We start from the raw sequence: 21,730 nt of genomic DNA, 5'->3' as shown, positions 1-21,730 counted from the left end.
AGTGAGGCAGGGTGGGGACTTTGAGGCCAGCCCCAGGCCCACTTGTTGTGTGTGGCAAGGTTTGGAAAATGAAAACCAGAGGCATCTCAAAGAGCATTCTGTTTGGGCTCTGGGGCAAGCCTGGGCACTCTGCCAGAGCAGCTGGGAACTCTGGTGAGGCACTTTGATGCAAATGCCCAGCTGGGCCCAGTTCATTCTTTATTTACCCCACAGGGCTATCCATAGGGTATTTGTTCTCTGTACCACTAGAACACATGGAGACCATCATCCTCCTGCAATATACACTGAACACTGACAACATGCCAGATGACGGAACCAGGATGGCAGGACACAATCCAGGTAAAGCAAGGTCCTTGTAGTGAGAGAGCCCTAAGGCTGAATCCTGGCTCCCAGACTAATAGCTGTGGGCAAGCTACTTAACCTGTAAGCCTCAGTAAACTCATCTATACAACACAGGTAATGCTCACTTTATTGATGGGAAGCTTAATGAAATAAGGAATATGAAGATATTGACACAGTGCTTGGCTCCTAGTAAGTAGCTCAATAAAAGAAAGTTATGATAGTCAAATAATACTTTCCACCTGCTAGCACTGGCAAAGATAATGCTCTGGAAAGGCTCTTCATTGTGTTCTTTTCTCTTTAACATTTGTCCATCTAAGCACAGTGGCTTGGTTGGCAGTACCCTAATGTGGGGTTAACAGCATCATTAATTCTGAAAATTTTAAGGTTATCTTATACCCAAGCAGAAGGACAACAAAGGCCCTTTTTAGTTGATCATTTGCCATTTGTCCTTAACTGACCATGTCCCTACTGATGAAGTTCACATATTCAGATAACACAGATGTTTTTGAAAGTCTATTCTCTTGAGAATAATAAAACAGGTATTGTAAGAAATGTTAACATCATTCTTGTCCTAAGAAGATCTTCCTGAATTATCCAATTATGTGCCTGGATTCTCTGTGGAGGTTTGACAGGCGCAGTCCCAGTCCCAAACTTGGTGTGGAATCAACTTCTCCCTGACCTTCTGTACTGAGTAGGGGTATATAGCGGTAACCTCCAAGAAAACTGCTCAGAAATGCCCCAGTGTGAGGCTGAGCATGAGTGCAGAGTGCTCACAATTGCTGCATTTGATGAGTTAAGTTTATACCCCTGACTGTCTCAGGACACTCTCCATCTTCCAAATGTACCTCAGTAATAATGCTAATGATTGCAAGTAGCACCTTTCTTGTATCTCATTTATTTTTACCCCAAATTGTGAAAGCTTGAAAGAATTTACTGACTGCTTGGATTTTCTGACTAATTGGGGTAACTCTGTGTTATAGCCATTAGGAGATTTAAATATAGCTCTTCTTGAGCAATACTCTTTATTGGATCCCCTGTTATCCTTTAAATATCTTGGTGTGCAAGTGGATAAAATTAGAAAGAATTTGTTTGCTTTAAATTACCAACCTCTGCTTGATAAAACTATTAGCGATTTAGCTAATTGGACGGCTCTTCCATTATCATTAATTGGCAGAGTTAATACTATTAAAATGGTTGTTTTATCTAAACGTTTGTATTTATTTCAATGCTTTCCCATCAAGCCACCTAAGAATGCTCTAAAGCTTTGAATTCTGCAATTAGTTTTGTTTTATGGGCTACAAATAAGTTAAGATTAATCTTAAAACAACAACCACTCTAGCAGGCCAAAGGATTATTTCTTCTTTATGAAAAGTTGGATACATATTGGACTTTTTTGATCAGGCTTTGTCCATTGTTTTTAGATATCCTCAATAAGAAGTGTCACAGTCCAAAAGAAATTGAAAAGTGATTCTTGTTAATATTCTTTATCTTGTAAAAACGTTACAAGGGAACTTTATTTCCCACTTATATATGTATTCAATCACCCATTCATTCAGCAAATATTTATTGTGAATTTCTTATATGCACCAATCACTACACTATGTTGCAGAAGATTTCAAAGGTGAATAAAATGCAGTTTTTGCCCTCAGAAGTTGAAATATTAGGGGTGAAAAGGAAGCAAATAACAGCAGATAATGTGGGAAGTGCTAGGTCAGCATGAGTATCATGCTGGGACAGAGCAATGAGTGTTGCTAAATCTGCCTAGGGGATCGAAAAAGGCTTCCCAGAGAGGGTGACATCTGAGCTGGATCTTAAAGGATGGTTGCACTCACAAGGCTTTTCCAAGACGTAAAAGAACACCTTGAGTTGTTTTATTTTGAATGATGAGGTAACTTGATTTGTGGGACAGTTAAAATTGTCCACTCAGCTAAAAGGTGACCATTTTCTCTTTGGTGGATCAGGAGAATTCTGTAGACATAATGCATCTTCAGCAGACCCTTGACTAAGGCTTTCATGATTTCTTTGAATGTCAAGATTGGGACATGTGAGCAGAATGATGGCACAGGTATATAAAATCCTAGCTGGTTGAAAAATGGTCCCCAGTGTGTTCATTATTGTGTTAATGTTAACCCAGAGAAAGGTTGCAGCGATATGCCAATGGGTTCTCTCTTTGGCTGTGTCCTGCTCAAAGTTTGTAATAACCTGGATAAGGACATAGAGACTACATGATACCAATTGAAGACAAGGACAGCCAATATACTAATAGGTCAACCATGAATTTATAAAGATTTCAAGAGGCTAGAATAAAGGGTCAAAGTTAATCATATATAATTAAATGAGAAAAAGTAATGTTTCACCCAAATTTGTCCCACTTGCTGAAGTACAAGCAGGGAATCCCTGGCTTATTACGGCATTGTGAGGCAATAGAAAATGCTTCAGATTTGGAGTCAAAGGTCTAGGTTCAAGTCCTAGCTTGGCTGACATCGGTATGTAATTTCAAGCATCACTCTAAACTTATTTGAGCCTCGGTTTCTCTGTCTTTATGGGCTGAATATTTGTGTAGTCTCTCCCACAAAAATGTGTATGTTGACATCTAATCCCCAATATGATTGTATTGGGAGGTGGAGCCTTTGGGAGGTAATTAGGTCATAAGGCTAGAACCCTCATAAATGGGATTAGTGTCCTTATGAGAAAAGACCAGAGAGCTAACTCACTCTCTTTCTGCCATGGAGAATACAATGAGAAGTTGGCAGCCTGCAATATGGAAGAGGGCCTTCACCAGAACTCATCCATGCTGGTATCTGGGACTTCCAGCGTCCAGAACTGTGAGAAATCAATTTCTGTTGTTTATAAGCCATCCAGTCTATGGTACTTTGTTATAGCATCCCAAACTGACTATAACACCATCCATAACCTGGAAATAATAATACAAGTTCACAGAGATGTTGTGAGAATTAGGTATGTAGAAACAACTTTACAAACTATATGTCATTGGACAAAAGTTATTGTCTATAGTACTTATGATAGTAATGGTAATAATAATAGTAACTTATATGAAGTCCTGAAATTTTAGTTAGTTAAATTCTAACCCAGAGTTAACTAACAGTTTGACGTGGCTTTCAAAATAGCCACTGTAGTCATGGGCTGCATTACTGGAACAATGGAGTCAGAACTGTATTCCCACTAGATTCACCTAGAACCCATCTGGCATCCTGGGTTCAGTTCTGGTCCTTGTGGTAACCCTTGTGTCTAAAGCAGAGTTTGACATATAGTGGGTGCTCAGTACCATTTGTGGAATAAATTAATTTTAATACAGATGTTGCAGCATGTCTGCTGTCAGGTAATGAGGATTCTATGAATATAGACACCATAAAAAGTGCTTTTGAAAGTGGAGATGTTTTGTATGAAAAGAGACAATTTATGGAGTAATCACATGTGAAGGAATAGGTCAAGTATAGGGTCTGTTGTACTTGGAGGACAATTATGTAGAAACAGGGGAACAGATTTGACATTTACTAGCACCATCTGCAAGCTACACATTTGAAATAATTATTTTGTTGCTCTGGAAGATAAGCTGAGACTTGAGGGTAGAGGTTACAGGAAGTCATACTTTGGCCCAACAAACAGAGGTAATATCTAAAATTAGGCATCCCCCCAACGAGGAAATAGCTTGGCTTTTGAGTTACTTGTTTAAGCAGAATGTTTTGGGAGAGATTACTCACGTGTAAGAAATCAAAGTACATCACTGATTCCCAAACTTGCTTTGGCATTGCCTGTGGAGCTCGTTAAAAATGTAGATGCATAGATGGAATTAGAATCTAAGGACATGATGTCCACTACCCAGCCTCCTGTATTTTTAACAACTCTGCAGATAATTCTGATATATAAGACACATAAGGCTGAGAATCAGTGACTCACGCCTGTAATCTCAACCCTTTGGGAGGCTGAGGCAGTTGGATCGCTTGAGCCCAGGAGTTCAAGATGAGCCTGGGCAACATAGTAAGGCCACATCTCTATTTGCATCTCTATTTGCAACAAAAATTTTAAAAATCTATTTAAAACTGCCCTGATGATAAAAATATCATGTTGTGTAAACAGTTTCCCAGTCCCCATCCCTGGAGATTCAAATTCAACAGGAATGGAATAAGAACAAGGAATTAGCATCATCAGGAGCATGTGAAAAACACTGGACTAGACAATCTTTAATATTCTTTCCAACTTCAAAGATTCTAAAGATCTGATCCAACTATAGCTTCTTGTTGGTTCTGAATAACAGTTTTGAACAATGCAAGGATTAGGGGTGCTGACCCCTCCCTATGCAGTTGAAAATTGAGTATGAATTTTTTTTTTTTTTTGAGACATAGTCTTGCTCTGTCACTCAGGCTGGAGTGCAGTGGCACGATCTTGGCTCACTGCAACCTCCGCCTCCCAAGTTCAAGAAATTCTCCTGACTCAGCCTCCCAAGTAGCTGGGATTACAGGCATGCACCACCACACCTGGCTAATTTTTATATTTTTAATAGAGACAGGGCTTCACCATTTTGGCCAGGCTGGTCTCAAACTCCTGACCTCAGGTGATCTGCCCAACTCGGCCTCCCAAAGTGCTAGGATTACAGGCATATGCCACCGTGCCTGGCCTAAAATTGAGTTTAACTTCCAACACTCCAAACAAAAACTGAACTACTAATAGCCTACCACTGACCAGATAGATGCCTTACCAGTAACATAAACAGTTGATTAACACAATTTTGTATGTTGTATGTATTATATATGCATTCTTACAATAAAGTAAGCTAGAGAAAAGAAAATGTTAAAAAGAAAATAATAAAGAATAGAAAATATATTTAGTATTTGTATTCATCTGTTCTCATGCTGCTAATAAAGACATACCCGAGACTGGGTAATTTACAGAGGAAAGAGGTTTAATTGACTCACAGTTCCACATGGCTGGGGAGGCCTCACAATCATGGTGGGAGATGAAGGAAGAGCAAAGGGATGTCTTACATGGCAGCAGGCAAGAGAGGTCATGTGCAGGGGAACTCCACCAAACCTAGTGAGATTTATTCACTAACACAAGAACAGCACAGGAAAAACCTGCCTCCATGATTTGACCACCTCCCACTGGGTCCCTCCCATGACATGTGGGGATTATTACAGTAAAAGGTGGGATTTGGGTCAGGACAGAGACAAACAATATCACTATTCATTAAGTGGAAGTAGATCATCATAAAGGTCTTCATCCTCATCATCTTCACATTGAGTCAGCTGAGGAGCAGGAGGAAGAGAATATAGTCTTGCTGTCTCAGGGATGGCAGAGGTGGAAGAGATAGAGGCAGTGGAAGAGGAAGCAGGAGAGGCAATCACACTCAGTGTAACTTTTATTGAAAAAAATCTACATTTAAGTGGACTCCCACAGTTCAACTCCATGTTATTCAAGGGTCAACTGTACTTGAATTACAGTAATGAAGCCACAAGCAAAAATATGTATGCCTTTAGCTTGCCATGATATTCTTCATATGGTGTCTCTAAAGAACCAAACACATTCTTTAATAAACTAAATTGCAATGAACATTTTGACTTTCCAATTGGCTGCAGTTTACTATTTTGGCTAATGTCAGTAAATATATGTTCAGATGTATGCAAATGACAAGTGACTTGTTTTAAAGAGTTATTCAGTATAAACAGACTTTAGGGCTTTGATGAGTCAAGGGTTGAATGTGATATATTCGAATAAATGTTTTATAAATGCTTTCATTTAAATGTACTCCATTCTCTGAAAATGTGCACTTGTAAGTCACTAGAGTTTCATTCTAGCCACATTCTCTGTCTTCATCTAATATTTTACCCTAAAACAGAGGTGGGAAAGTGTACAAGTGTTTGACTTCTGAGCTGCCATCACATTCAGCAACTTTCACTAATTTTTGATAGTCTCACCTGAATCAGCTAAAGAATAATGCTCTACCTCAATGACCCCAGATCTAGATCTTCTGCCATTCCTCTCTTCTTTCTTTGATTCCTTACAGCTTAGAACCAAAAGCAAAGCTTTCTATGTGTTTTTGAGAAAGTGGCTGGGAAAAGGATGAAAAGGAAATTATTAAAGAGCAGGTAAAATGTGATTTTTGCATGTAGGCTTTTCTTGCAGAATACAGTTCCCTTAGTCCGGAAGGAGAAGACTCAGGCAACAGCTGCAGCCCCAGATCTGTTTGTGTCTCTACCCAGGGTAGATGATGCTTTGAGGGACTGAAAATCTTGCATACTCAGCTTATGAGATGTAGGTTACAGATAAAGATGAAGATGAAAGAAAGATAAGTAGCCAGGAACAGAAAAGACAATGATGAGTATATGTATACGCTCCATGACTCAGAGGATAGAAAGTAAACCACACCTTTAGCTTAACCCTTTGTTCTGGTAACAGAAAAGCGTGTTCTGAGATTCTTTAGCTGATAACAGTAGTTTTTATTTCAAAGGTGGTGAGGGCAGGAAGGAAGGTAATCAAATGGATTAGGGAGAATCAAGAATCAAGTCATGTTATTTGGGAACACATTGACAAAGCAAGTAAAATTATTGGAGGATACATTTTTCTTGATTATTTCTCAAAATGTGGTCTAGGAGCATATATAGGTCAAAATGAACGAATAGGGCATTTTTTTTAATCATCCAAGATGTTTTACTTTAATGACCAAAACAGATGCTTTGGTTTAAAGACAAATTGAGTAAGCAAATCTTCCTCCCAAAACTGTGTGCTGACGTATTTCCCCAAAATGCCATCCTTTCTCCTTTCTTCCCTACCCTCACCATGTGACATAATCTGGAGATCGCCTTTTCTAGCTCCTGTGCATTCCCTAAAGAAGAGAGCTAGGGAATCCATGCTATTTCCCCAAAGAATCTAAGCTTTCTCAGAGTAAGAAAAAGCCTATAAGCAACAAATAAGTAAAGGCTCAGCATTTCTCCTTCCTCCAAGTGGTAAAAGATGGAAGGGAAGGTGAGAGAAAGCATCAGAAGGAAAGCTACCCAGGAGAACAACTTCTCCCCTCGGCGGACAGGAGAGAAAAGGGGACAGATTGCAACAACCCACCCATCACAATTGCTCTGAGCACTCTGCCCTGCTATAGAGAATGGCTGGGTCCTTTCCCTAGTCCTCAAGTGACCTGTCTCAAGGCAGTGTCCTGGAACACCGCCTCCCTGGAGAGGGTCAACCAAGCTAGTGGCTGATCTTGCATTCAGTTGTTTTGTTCACTCCAAGTCCTCACACCCTCTGCACAATTCAGTTCAATTCAGCACGCATTTGTTGAGCCCCTACTACGTGCCAGACTCCCCAAGAGGGCAGTAGCACAAAGGTAAGTACTGTAATCTGGTTTCTGCCTCACAGCCTGTCTGCACAGGACAACACAGTTAGCTAATAATGAAGACTTTACAAATTACACAAAGCTGTGACATTTGCCAAGGAAGGACGAATGTGGAAATGAAATTGGATTTCAGTGCACCAGTTATCACTTGGGGCTGGGGCCTCTTTCTGCAACATGTGCCTTTCTACATTTGTATAAAGCTTTAGAGTTTACAAAGTCTTCCCATATACATGATCTCATTGTGAAATATTGAGAGTCAGCTTGTCTTTTGCAATTCACAGATGACAAAACTGAGGCTAAGAAAAATTAAGGACACATTGCGCTAAGATGTTTTATAAAATAATATTATTCAATGGCCAATATACAAAAAAAGGGGGGGCTGGCTCCCTATTATAATATTACGCCCTTTTAGGAGGAACTGTAAGTACTTCCAAAATATATCTTCAATTACTCCAAAGAATAAGGTTTAGAGGGAAGAAGATGCCAAGTATTATAAGCGTATTTTACTAATGGAGAAGAGGAATTAAGTCACAGCCTTCACACGGTGCCCAGGAGATAAGACAATACAGCTTCTCAGTGTCTCGTCTGGAACATTATTCTCTGGACTGCTAGAATAAGAGTCCTGTAGACGGAGTCAAACATGGGTTCAAGTGACCTCAGCATCAGAACACAAGTCAAAGACCACAGGAAATTTCCCCAATTGCACAGTTTACTGGGCAAATGACTTAATCAACTTGGACTTAAAATAACATCTCTGGGTGGGGGCAGAAATTAAAAAGACTGTCTTTCAGGAAGATGTGGGAGCTGAGGAGTTATTACCTCATAAGGACCCATCTAAAAAACTGTGCTGTAGATGCTGGATATGCCAAGCTTTGATGAGGCCTTCAGGGCTAGAAAATAGTCTACGCACATTGAAATGGGTTGGAGCTCCTCAGATGAAAGACATCTCTATAAGACATGTGGATGTGTATTAGATAATCTTTGACATATGTTTAATATTTAGATTTCCAAGATTACTCATGTTAATATCCGCTGCACATCTTACTTTTTTGCCTTTTGTGCACACTGGGAGATGTGGGTTTGGACACATTTCAAGCCAGATTTGTTCCTGTTGCTTTATTGCTGCTAACCACAGGGTCACTAAAATGAGAAAATCATCTGCTTCTTCCTCTACTGAACTTTGAATTCAAAACTTACATACTTTTTTTTAAAGGGAGGAAAGAAACATGCAAATGAATAATGAATGCAGTAAAAATAAATGTGTGGTTCTGGGCCCCATTTAATTTTTCTTAAATGACAGCGTTGTTAATGCTATGAAATATTTTCTCTGATAAATGTGAGTTAGCTAATTTGCATGAATGGCTAGTCTGTCATTTTTCTAGTCTGTTGAGTTATGGGTTTTAAAAAATAGGTTCTTTTCTGTATGGCTTTTAATATATTGTTATTATATGTGATCACTGAGCTTTCCTAATGGCACATTGAAAACATGGGTTTCATCTCTTTAAAAAAATAGAAATTAATTTTGAAGAAGTAATTTATGCAATAATGAAGTTCTTCGGATAAATGTATTTATAAGGAAAAACCATTTACACGTTATTCAGTATTTCTTTTTAACACATACACAAAAAAGAATCTATTTTCTGCCAAAGTCTTAATCGCAGAAAATTTGGGAAGTTTAAAATTAAGGCTGCTAGGGTCCCCCTTCATGCGTAAGCTTCGGTAATTTCCCAGACTGAAGAAAAAAGGGCGCTTACAAAACCTCCTTTGTGCACCTGTGCCACAATAAGTTGAGAAGCTAAAGAAAGGTCATTTGATTCTGAACCTTGAATTTTGCTACATTCATGCAAGTTAAATAATAATGTTAACAGTCCTACAGAGAGGTGTCTGTCAGTGGCCTCACTTTGAATAGAGCAAGTAAAAAGAGAATGAGCGTAGCAAAGGAAGGGAAGAATTTCAACCAGCACATCACTCCCATCTTCTTTCTTTTCTAACAGTTTTAAATTAAACTCAGTGTCCCCTGAAACCTTAAGGTCGATGCCTATGCCTCAAAATTGCCAACGACACGTCAATGGCAGTGTTTCCCCCAGTAAACCTATGACAAAAGGAACATGGATGAAATTGTAATCCATGAGGCAATTACTTCAGAGTTATAAGCTTTAGAAAATAGCATTATATGACTCCGGAAGTGCCATCTCAGCAATCATCACTGTGTAAAGCACTAATGAATAAGTGCTCTCTGGCTGCCTTAGCTCATAAATGACAGACTACTAAAATGAAGGAACACTACATCTGATTGAAATCCACTAGGCATGGACAAGTAGAAGTGAGTTGATGCAGTCAAATGGCCATGGCCTAGGGTTTTGCTTCAGCACCAAGTAGGGAGGCCTTAGACTCTAGGGTGTATAAACCTGAGTTCAAATCCCCCTTGGCTACCCGCCTGCTCCCTTATCTCCTCTGCACAGCTCCTTCCAAGTATGGAGTAAGTTCCACATGTTAGCTGTTGTTATTAATGTATTTGTAAAATGAGGAGAATAAGACCCACTTTATAGCACTATTTTGAGGATTACTGATAAGACATTTATAACTCCAAACACAATACATGGCTTTTAAGTAGCTGCTACTTGTCCTACTGTTGTGTCATTATCATTAGAATTATTTTCATTAGAAAGCAAACTATTAATAAAAGCAGGGATTGTGTCTATTCAATTTAGTGATGTGTTCCCAGCATTTAGGCCAGTGCCTGGATATAGAATAGTCTACTCAATCCTTCTCTCTTAATAGCACTGACAATAATTCAGACCATATCCACTATTTGTTTGTTTTTTAAGTGTAAGCCTCGAATTTCACACTCAAAACTAAAGCGTCCTGTGAAAGTTGCGACTATTTGGCTGGATGGCCAGTTCAAAGTAGCTGTAGATCAAGGACATGCTCTGGAATCACTGGATCTGAGACCCAGTGGTTTTTGTGGCCCTGTAACTTAATGTGACAAGGGAACTTTTCTGAGCTTCAAACTATCTCTGAAATGAGGAATAAAGACATTATATGGCTTACCTTCTCCAATTCTATTGTTTCAGGAGCCAGGTGGGATATATGTAAATATATATATTTATAAATATGAAAAACATTGGACAATGTTTCATGTTCTACAAATGTTACTTATAATAAATAGTGCTTATTATTATCCACCAATGCACTTGAACACCTTGTTGGTCTATGAACAAAAGTAACTGTATTGACCTAGACCAGGGTCAGCAAACTGCAGCCTGCAGGCCAAATCTGGCCTGTAAGCTAAACATGAGTTTTACATTTTTAGATGCTTGAAAACAATCAAAACAAGAATAGTATTTCATGACACACCTGCAAAGCCTACAATGTTTAATATCCGGGCCTTTACAGAAAGTGTTTGCCACCCCCTAGCTCAAAGAGTTTATATTAATAACATTTTTAGTTTTCTTTAGGATCAAGCCTTAAAGCAGGTAGAAAGTATGCACAATTAGTGCTGGGCCTGGCAGCAGCCCAGGTTAGCAGAAAGAACACTTCCTTAGAAGCTGGCTCTAGGTGTGCCTCACCGGCCTTATGTACTTCCTCCAGTCCCGGCTGAAATTGCATCTTCCCTGCTTGCTTGTTTGCTTCTCTCAAACCTACATGAGCCTGCAATTTCTATGCAGCCAACGTCAGTGTCCCTATTGTTCACCTCTTTATTCTTGGCACCTATCTCACTGCAGGGATTTCTAAGTATTTTTTTGAGTGAATGAGTGACTGAATTAATTCAGTTATCCATTCATCCACTCTTCAAGGGTCAGCTTAACCCTTTGCCCTTCCATGAAACCTTCAGAAACCACTCCAACGCAGAGGACTCTTTTGTATCCTAGAGTCACATGCCCTCCTTGGCCCAAGCCAGACAATGCATAATATAGGGCTTTCAGGTACTCTTGAAATATTGCCCCATGTTCAGTTAACAACAGCTCAGGTGACTCATTTGTTATGTATTCATACTTTGGTTCTTCCAATTAGATGACAAACTGCCTGAGTGTCAGATCCAGCGTGGCTCCCAGACTCCACACCTGGCTTCCTCTTTAAAACCTGGCACAGAAATCCATCTGTCCTTTCAGCAAAACATATTAAGCCACTCTAACCCCTAGGCCATGACCCAACATGGTCTGCTGCTGGTCTGCCCTGGACGTCAGCCCCTCTGAGTTCCTGCCTGCTAGGTTGAGCCCAGGGTCCCTGCTTTACCCATGTTTTGGGTACTGACTTTCAGCTTTCTTCCTTTGTTTCTGGGCCCCAATCTTGGTGATTTGAGTCCAGGCTTGGCTTCTACTTTGCCCCTCCACAGGGGGTGGAGTCCCATCTCTCATCCCAGCCTGGTGCTCGAGGCTACATAATGTGCACCCACCTGCTCTTGCTACTGACAGTCTCCTGCCTTCCTGACCTTCCAGCCATTTGCTCTCAGGCTCCCATTGTTAGGTGCAGTCTGGACACCCACCGCCTCATTTTGTGCCATATTCACAATTACGTGCCAGGACTGTAACTCCCAGAACATCATGCCTTAGTCATTCTCTTCTGGTCTACTCCAGCCTCTGGGAAGCTGCCACAGGTCTGAAATTTGGAAGAGACTCTGTGACTCACACTTCTTTCTGTCTTCAGTCTGCCTGTACGGTGCTTGAACCACTGTAGGCTTATCAGAGGAGTTCCACAAAGATCCATCGGTTGACCCAGCTTTAAAAATAAGATAAAAGATGGTCACAATTCATAGTAGGTCATATCTAAGTTTCTTGTGTTTCTAACTTTGTGGTTCCCACCCATCAGACCCAACATCTCCTTTTTATAACATTTATAATCCTCCCTTTACTATCCTGAACATATATATTATAATAGCATATTACCCACACGTATATTTTTTAAATATCAATATAATGACCAAAATGTAATATAAAAGAGAAACAAAAGGAAACTAATTCATAACAAAGTGTATATTTAAATATGTACATATGAAAGGCATGATGAAGTGGTCAAATGCTTGTATCTATTTGTGAAATCACAGCCACAAATGCCACTCAAATATCAGAGTAGCATTGCTGCCAGTGATGTTATTTTCTCAGTGTCTAATTCTTGGCAAAGTTCTGAACCAAACAAAATAGAATATTCCCCTAACTTACAAGTTAGATGTAAATTCATGGAAATTTTAGTGTGTATTAAAATTGGGCAACAAAATATGTCAACTGGAGTTAGGTCATAGGTATAGATCATTATAAACAGTTTCACCTACATGAAAGCCTGGCAGTGCATTCAAAAGCTATGTGGGATGCTGCACGATTCTACAATTCTTCACTGAGTAGGACTGTCCTGAGAATAGCAGAAGTCTAGCATCTCTGGCTCCCACATAGTTTTGTGGCATCTGAAAAACGCTGTCAGAAATTCCCAAAACACCCTGTAGTGGGCAAGAGCACCTCCATGGAGAACTACTGATCTAACCTACCTATTAAAAACTGTCCTACATTCAGAACCTATTGAAGGCGGAGCATCTCTTCTGACCTTGACACCCTGAGTAAAGGGTTTGAGTGAGTGCCTGTTGTGAAGGTGCTGGCACAACCCAGATCATAACCCAAGGTCAAGGTTGGATGAGCCAAAGATCTCAGCACTACCCAATCTTGAGGCTGTTATGCCCTGAGGTTACAAGAGGAGTCTTAGTAGCACAGTGGAAATATGGAAGTTTCCCTCTAGCCAATTAATTAGATTAAAAAGCAAAACCATCAGCATTTCCTTACTCCACTTACTCTCTGCATCATATACTCATTTTGCTCTTTAAACTCATCGAATTTAAGGGTTGACAGTAAATCTATCCCTCTGCATGCAGCATTCAGATTCATCTCTTACATTTCATTTCCTGTCTCTCAAACTCACCCTTTCCATTCCATCCCTTAAAACACCCCTACTCCAGACTCTCTTTCCCCAGTCTTTGGATTCCTCTTTCTCCCTCTCCACTTGCCTTCCCACCTCGGTCTCTCTCAGCCCCAGGATGGCTGCATGTCTACATGGTGTAAGTAGGCCAGACTTTTTCCATCACGCTTATTCTGGTTCTCTCTGGGAAGGAACTCTGAGGGGTCTCCAAGATGTATGGCATGTAAGTTCAGTTGCAACCTGACATTTCTGAAGGCACTCCTGTACTCTTTGCTCTGCTGCACCCATGTTCTGTTTCTGTAAGGTGAGATATCTGTTCGCATGGCATCCACTCCATTTTTGGAATCTTTTCTCTTGCTTTCCACCTAGGATGACTTTTTGCCATCCTTTTGCCTATTCAAGTCTTAACAGCCCTTCAGAAACAGCTTAAATATGGCCTCCTCCAGGAAGCCTTCCTAAATGCTCTCCCTTTGAGTTTTTGTGCCATTTTCATATTGAGTCTCTTTTGCTTTAACCTTGAATACTAAGGTCTCTTTTGGATTCGTTTGTGTTCACAAGAGCACCTAGGAACTTGTCACAGTAATATGAGTGTCCAACACATTCTTGTAGTTTTTATGAACTCAAAAAAGGCGGTGGGTGGGTAAGACTGATCCCATATTTGAAATATTTGGGGTGGAGATTCCCTCACCTTCCTTCAAAATCACTTTATTTCCCCTCAGCTAACATAGAATTCCCTCAGGAGACCCGCTGACCCAGAGGAACATGTGCCCCTCTTTTCGCCATGATATTAGTGCATTGAAAGTAGAGGTATAACTTCAGGGTGGCTCTGAAAACATTAACTAAGACAATAATAAATTAACACAATAGTCAACTAATAGCACCGTGATGCTTTCATGTATGAATTGGAATGTGAGCACTGAGATTTTCATTTCATGGTTGAAAAATACATGAGTTGACCCAAATACTAATTTCTGCATTTCCATCATTTACATATCATGGGTCAGTAATCATTTCTTGCCTAAATGGCTTTCCAAATGAAAAGCTATAATATTGTAATGGTTTATCATATTTACAAACATCGCATTGTGCTACCCACTTGGTACTCTGGATTTGCAAACAAGCAGACCCCATTCTCTGGAAAGGCAGGAGCGGTGCCGGAGAAGAGTGAGAAAGTTCCCCAAGGAGAGAGCCATTTGTTTCTTCCTCCCTAAGGTTCATGAGTCTAGGAACCTCTATTCCACGGAGACATCTTCCAGCCACCTCATTTCTCCTGCATGCCATTTGGTCAGCAGGGGCTAGGGATGGACGCTGCCTGTGTTATGGTGATCATTCTCTGCTCTGGGGCCGAAAACTCTGGTTACTTTGAAAATATCTCCTTGCAAGGCTAGACCTGCTGAGAGAGCGGATGTGATATTTGGGAAGGATAATGCAACCTGATTTTTTTTTATTATAGTTCAGAACAACATCAAGTGAAATGTCTAAGGTGATTTTATTCCTCATTTTAATGCTATGATAATACAAATCAGAACATGACTTTACCAGTCTTTCATTGAAGCCCCATGCTTGTTGCTCGACTTCTTCACAGTGTCCATAGTCATCTGTTACTTTAGGGGTCTCACTCTTGTCGTTGGGTACTACATGTTTTAGAAATCTGTGTTTTTTAAAAATAATAGAGTTGGCCGGGTGCGGTGGCTCACGCCTGTAATCCCAGCACTTTGGGAGGCCGAGATGGGTGGGTCACCTGGTCGGAAGTTCGACACCAACCTGACCAACATGGTGAAACCCTGTCTCTACTAAAAATAGAAAAAATTAGCCAAGTGTGGTGGCACATGCCTGTAATCCCAGCTACTTGGGAGGCCGAGGCAGGAGAATTGCTTGAACCCGGGAGGTGGAGGTTGTGGTGAGCCGAGATCGCGCCATTGCACTCCAGCCTGGGCAACAAGAGCAAAAACTCCGTCTAAAAAAATAAATAAATAATAATAATAATAATAATAGAGTTAGAGCCATAGAGTAATGGGGATCTGATATAACAATTACACCCTGCCCCAGCAGGCTTAGTTTACACATCTGCCTTGCTCCTTAATTATAACTTGGGGTTGAATGTCAGTTGCAAGCATTTGTAGGGACGGTCACCCTTCTGCATTCACACATGAACACACTCATCCCGAGGTGTTCTCTGAACAACACCCCCTTGGTTGGGCTTCTGTTACTCCTACTTTGGCTCAAATACACAAAAGGAAGCTAAAGAAGAAGTGTTGAGGTCCTTTATTAGGCTCTCCTGTGAATCTGGTTTCAGGACTAGAAAGCAATGCAGCAGTGCGTGATTTATGTAATCCCTCCCACTGCTGCTTTTCCTGATTTTTAGGGTGATGTACAAGGAGTGAGTTAGCTAATAGTTGACTGGTCACATTTCACATCATTGCCTGTGCATCCTAGGATGGAGGGCATAAAAACAGTAACACAGGCTGGAGAGGTGGTGGGGAGGGATTTAGCTGTTAATGGAAATTTCTCCTTCAGACCCTCTGAAAAAAAATGTTACCTTTTTGAGGATGGCTCTCTATTTTTTTCTCCCTAGCCCCTATGTTTTAAAAAAGCTAAGGCTGTGTGTGTGTGTGTGTGTGTGTGTGTGTGTGTGTGTGTGTGTTTTGAAGGGAGCAGGCACAAAAGGGAGGGGAGTGGAAAGTGATTATTATCATCCCAACGTCTTTCTTTAGCAGGCTGCAGCTCTGTTTATGAAATGCCACAGCAAAAGTGAGCTCACGCCTGTGTGCTTCTATCTCACAAGCATTCTGGGTGCCAGATGGGCACTTTGTGACTGTCTGAGCGTGGATTATTTCATTTCTTACATCTGGGACTCCAAACGGCAGCTCAGAAGGCCACAGGAGAGAGGCGCTGCTTTTCAGCTGGGGGAACCCTACCTTCACGAGGGAGCCTAGTGGCACAGTGGTGACAAGGCCAGGAGTTTCCACAGAGAGCGAAATCTGAAAGTTCACGCACATCCAGGCCGTAGGAAACCTTTAGAACTCAGGACAAGATAGAAATTAACAATGACCCATAAGTTATATTAACTGTAGTTTTTGTTGTTGTTGCTGTTAAAGGACAAAGAAAAGAACAAATGCGAACAAACCGTAAGCACTGGCCTTGGAAGATGTTTTCAGAATAATGCTCTGTATTTCAGTTTTGAAATTCTATTGTGGCTTCTTAGTCAAACACCTATAGATAATTACTAGTGGTACAGATAAGTCAACCAAAATGGTCTCCAGCATGTTGACTATACCACAGCCTCTTGGCGTCTTAATCACTTTATTTCAATGAATGGGATAAGGTGTACTGGTGTGAAATTGTAGCAAGGACATTTACTTTTCGCAAGTACTATACCAAAATTGAGTGTACCTAGAGGCAGCACACAATGCCATTCAGATGAAACCAATGGACAGACCAGCAATTCAAAAAGGAGGTTCTTTCTGCTTTTAGGTTTATTGTTGAAAAACCTTACCATCACTGCCATTTCTTCCCCCTCACAAATACTTATCTAAATCACTCCACTTGTCCTGCAGGGGAAACAAATTTTACAAGAATATGTGGCTTAATGTTAAAAAAAAAAAATCTGACAGTTGACTTAACTGTTTTGCATAAGATATTTACAAACCACAGCAGATTAGGGGGGGTTTATGCATTTTCATATCCTGCTTGGTTTAAAGCAGCAATTTTCTGCAAGGACAACAGAGAAAAAAAAACATGCTTTACGCTGCTTATATTAATTACATTTTTTCATTACCCGTCATGTTTTCTGGAGGCTTGTGTATTATTACTGCAAAATGTAATGAAATAGAAAAGGAAGAAAGAATGGACTTCTGGGAAATTTTCCAATTCTTGAAATGCAATGTTAATTGAGAGCTATTTTTAGGGCTGCACAGATAGTGCAGGACCCAGTGCCATCAGTACAAACGGGTCCAGCCCAGGTGCAGCCTCCCCAGTGACAGCCCCAGGTCTTTGCCACTGGAGAGCTGGAAAACCTCAGTCTTCCTTGATGCCAAGTCTACTGAAGGGCACAGAAGGATTTCTGCAGATGATCTCCCAACAGAGGTAAGAGAAGAAAAACGAGGGGAGATGAACATAGAGCCCTTCTGAAACCAGGCCACTGTGATGATTGGTAGCAGTTCCCAGCCTGTCTTCAACTGCCACCCCTTGGACCCAGAATGAAGGAAAACTATTCAGTACTTAGGAAACATTATATATTCATATGGTGAGGCATGATGAAATGGTTTCCAAGGCCCTTCAAATGAAGAATTCAAAAAAGTGCCCACAGGGTGGTGACAAACAGGATCCTTTTTAAGGAACCATCTTCCCCAGCTAGAAAATGACAAGTTTGTAGTCTTAAGTATGTCCTACCAAGGATTTGAGAGAAATTTTTAAAGAACTAGGAACTTTATCGATTGGAGAAATATACTTCCTTTTATTACCAAACCAAACAGACCATAGAACTAATTTCCCACTGATTCGTCTGGATAGGTGACCTTCTAATCCAATGACTCACTTCTCTATTATTACTGTGCCCAAGAATTCCATTTCCTGATGTAGCGTTAGAACCAGCCCTGCAACGATGGAACAGACACACAGCAAACATGTTTACAGGGGCAAGTTTTCTTTCAAAGAAATTATCAGAATGGCTTCAAGGAATTCAGAAACTCTGGGCTCATTTGAAAACTCCCCATCTCAACACACCCTAAAAGCACTTTATGCTCTCTGAATGTCCTAGCCACTCATAAACATTAATCTCTTGCAAATGCATTCTTTTTAAAAAGATTTAAACAACTACTAACCTCCCACTCCCCCATATTACTATAACTTATTGTTTCTTACACTTTTACAAAGTAAACATAAATGCCCATAAAAGTCATCAAGCCAAAACTTGCTTTAGGCTAGGAGACTCAGAAATCCATTTCACCCACTTGTGAATAAACAGAAAGAACAAAGGGGAAGCACTTTCCACTCAATGGTCTCCGAACTATGAGGCGGGTAGCTTGCATATCCCAGCTTCTCTGGGGCCATCCTTCCAGGGTAGTGCCACGGGCTTGCTCAGAAGTCAGCATATTGTGACTACTGTACTGCAATGTTGTCATCAGATGTAGGTTGGCTGTCTGCCCTGAGACTATTGCTTTAGTCCTGACTGACACATTCTTTGAGGCAAAGTGTGTAATAGAGAAATTCCAACATTCTAAGAGTTTCTTCCAGTAGCAAAGTCAATTATGAGAGTAATTGGTAAAATCAGTGGTACTTGGAGTGAGAAGGCAAAATGAAAATGGTGCATGAGAACCAAAAGTTTATAGTTGGGTACAGAGACATATGAAAGTATCCATTTTCCCCGCTGCCTGGATTTAAATTGAGTAGATTAACCCAGATTGTTTCTGTCTAGCCTGGCCCACAGTCAGTAGCCTTTAAGGCTAAACTAACCAGCTGGTGAATATTTCTGGCTTACATCTCTTGCTCATCACTGTGATGACCACAAGCCATCTTCTAGGTACCCCCTGGTTTGCTCCAAGCCGTGCCTCTTCTTGCTCACCTGCTGCTCCAGATTTTGCCTCTTTGGACTTCTGTGGTTGTGTTAATTGATGGAGAAGCTAATTTGCATATCCTTAATATGTGGAACACGACCCTGAAAAATGTAGTTCATTCTGATTTCTGGCTGAGACGGTCTTTCCGACAAGCACCCAACCTCACCTTTATTCTGATCTGCATCTGCCTGCTGGCAAACAGTTTTCTTTGATTACAATCTACTCTGCTATCATCACCAGGACAGACTGAAATGCTTAAATAGCCAACATACTAAAATGGGCTGTTTAATACAATAAAACATATATACAGATGATCCTAGACTTATGATGGGACTACTTCCCAATACAACTCATTGTGGGTCTAAAATGCATTTGCTGTCTCAATAAACCCACTGTAAAGGCAAAAAATTGTGAACTGAACCACCATAATTTGGGGACTGTCTATATATTGTGTATACACAAGTTGAGTATCCCTTATCTGAAATGTGTGGGACTAGAAGTATTTCAGATCTCAAATTTTTTCAAATTTTGGAATATCTGCATATACATAATGATCTATTTTGGGGATGGGACCCAAATCTAAACATGAAATTCATTTATGTTTCATACACATCTTCTGCACATAGCCTGAAGATAACTTTATTTTTCTCTTGGGGTTACTGAATAAACTGCGTGTTGTGCACTTGCATTTTGACTACAATCCACCACCTAAACCCGGGTGTAGGGTTTTCCACATGTGGTGTCATGTCAGTGCTCAAAAATTTCAAATTTGGGGCTGGGTACACTGTCTAATGCCTGTAATCCCAGAACTTTGTGAGGCAGAAGCAGAAAGATAGCCCGAGCCCAGGAGTTTGAGATCAGTTTGGGCAATATACTGAAACCCCCATCTCCACAAAAACTCAACTAAAATAAAAATTAGTCAGACATTTTTGGCGTGCACATGTAGTCTCTGCTACTTGGAAGGCTGAGGTGTGGAGGTGGCTTGAGCCCAGGAAATCCAGGCTGCAGTGAGCCGTGACTGTGCCACTGCACTCTGCCTGGGCAACAAAGCAAAACTCGATCTCAAAAAACAAAAAAAAGTTTTAGATTTTTGGAGTATTTCAGATTTTGAATAAGAGTTTATAGGCTGGGCATGGTGGTACACCTGTAATCCCAGCTACTAGGGAGGTTAAGATGGAAGGATCACTTGAGCCCAGGAGTTCAGACTGGGCACCGTAGCAAGACACAGTCTCTTAAAAAATATTGAATAAGGACTTACAATAAAATGCCACAGTCTCCTACCTGTTTCCTCCCCATGCCCAGCCCCTCTCCCACAGTTAATCATTTTTAAGAATTTTTGTTTATCTGTTTTGTGATTTTCTGGCACTTACCTTTTTAACTCTAACAGGGTTATATCACTATTTCTCTTTCTACCAACTTTAAACAATCACTATTCACTCCCTGCTCTGAATAATATTTAATTACCTTACATTTCCTCCTTCCTCTTTATCTATTTTCCTCTTCCCAATTGCTAAGACTTATAGCTTAGGCTGTCTTACCGGTTACATTTGTAATGTCAAATAATATATCCAATGCCTTTTTCCTGTTTCAGCACATTTATATACGTTAGATAAGAATATTGTTATCCTTATCTTTCACTCTTCCTCCATGCCCCCGTTTCACATCCCAGTATCTGTCAACCCTGTTTATACATGTACATTGTCAAAATGGATAGCATTTATGGTCTTTTCTGTAATCCTAATTAAGCCTTCTGTGGATCTGTCTAAAGATTAATGCTAAAAATAATATATAAGCCTAAAAATAGAGGTTATATGATTACATAAATATTTTCACTCATAGACCAATCTCCTGCCTGATACATCCACCCAGGTGTCTCCTAAATGCTGCTCCCATCTAGACAGTGTGCTCTTCAGCTGCTGCCCAGCTGTCATCCAGAAACTTCTCTCTCTGCCCTTCTAAGTTAGACCGACTCTTCCTGATATCCCTTGCCTTCCTCTTTCATGGTGTTTCTCTTTTGCTGGAGTTCATCCTCAATTAATTTTTTTCAGAATTATAAACTATAATTTATGCCATGTTTGATGTGCTTTTTCCTCTTTACTTGACTAGTGGTTTGGCTGGGAATAGAGTTCTATGGTCAAAATTATTTTCCCTCAGAACTTTGAAGGCATTATTCCATTGTCTTCTAGCATCCAATGTTGCTAATAAGAAGTCAAAAGCTATTCTGATTCTGATTCCCTAGGAGGTTACCTTTTTTTTTTTTCTTTTTTTTTCGGAGTTTTGCTCTTCTTGCCCAGGCTGGAGTGTTATGGCACGATCTTGGCTCACCACAACCTCTGCCTCACGGGTTCAAGTGATTCTCCTGTCTCAGCCTCCTGAGTAGCTGGGATTACAGGCACAAGCCACCATGCCCTGCTAATTTTGTATTTTTAGTAAAGATGGGTTTAGGAGGTAACCATTTTTTTCCTCTATAGGATCTTTTAGAAGTTTCTGTTTTTCCTTAGTGCTCCCAGTTTCATAGGTATGTGCCTAAGTATGGATAAAACCTGGTTTTAAGGAATTTTAACAAAAAGACCCACTTCTTTCTGTC

At 40.4% G+C, this 21,730-nt stretch overlaps 1 long non-coding RNA gene across 3 annotated transcripts in view; it reads right to left on the bottom strand.

Moving 5' to 3' along the window:
- LOC105378833 (uncharacterized) overlaps positions 1–19,936 on the bottom strand; it is a 39,237-nt gene extending 19,301 nt beyond the window's left edge. Inside the window, exons 1-3 of one of the 3 annotated variants that reach the window (XR_001738133.2) lie at positions 16,507–19,936; positions 14,685–14,981; positions 12,084–12,406 (exon numbers count right to left, since the gene is read on the bottom strand). This is a non-coding gene — a long non-coding RNA (uncharacterized LOC105378833). Of the gene's footprint in view, positions 1–10,877; positions 12,407–14,684; positions 14,982–16,506 lie in introns of those variants that run through there. The other 2 variants (XR_947562.4, XR_947564.4) reach the window with 2 other exon arrangements.
- Positions 19,937–21,730: the final 1,794 nt, after the last annotated feature.

The sequence above is a fragment of the Homo sapiens genome, chromosome 1 (assembly GCF_000001405.40).
Source record: "Homo sapiens chromosome 1, GRCh38.p14 Primary Assembly".
NCBI classification, from domain to species: Eukaryota; Metazoa; Chordata; class Mammalia; order Primates; family Hominidae; genus Homo; species Homo sapiens.
The sequence above is the reverse complement of the archived record's forward strand: the minus strand, read 5'-3'. Positions and strand labels throughout refer to the sequence as shown.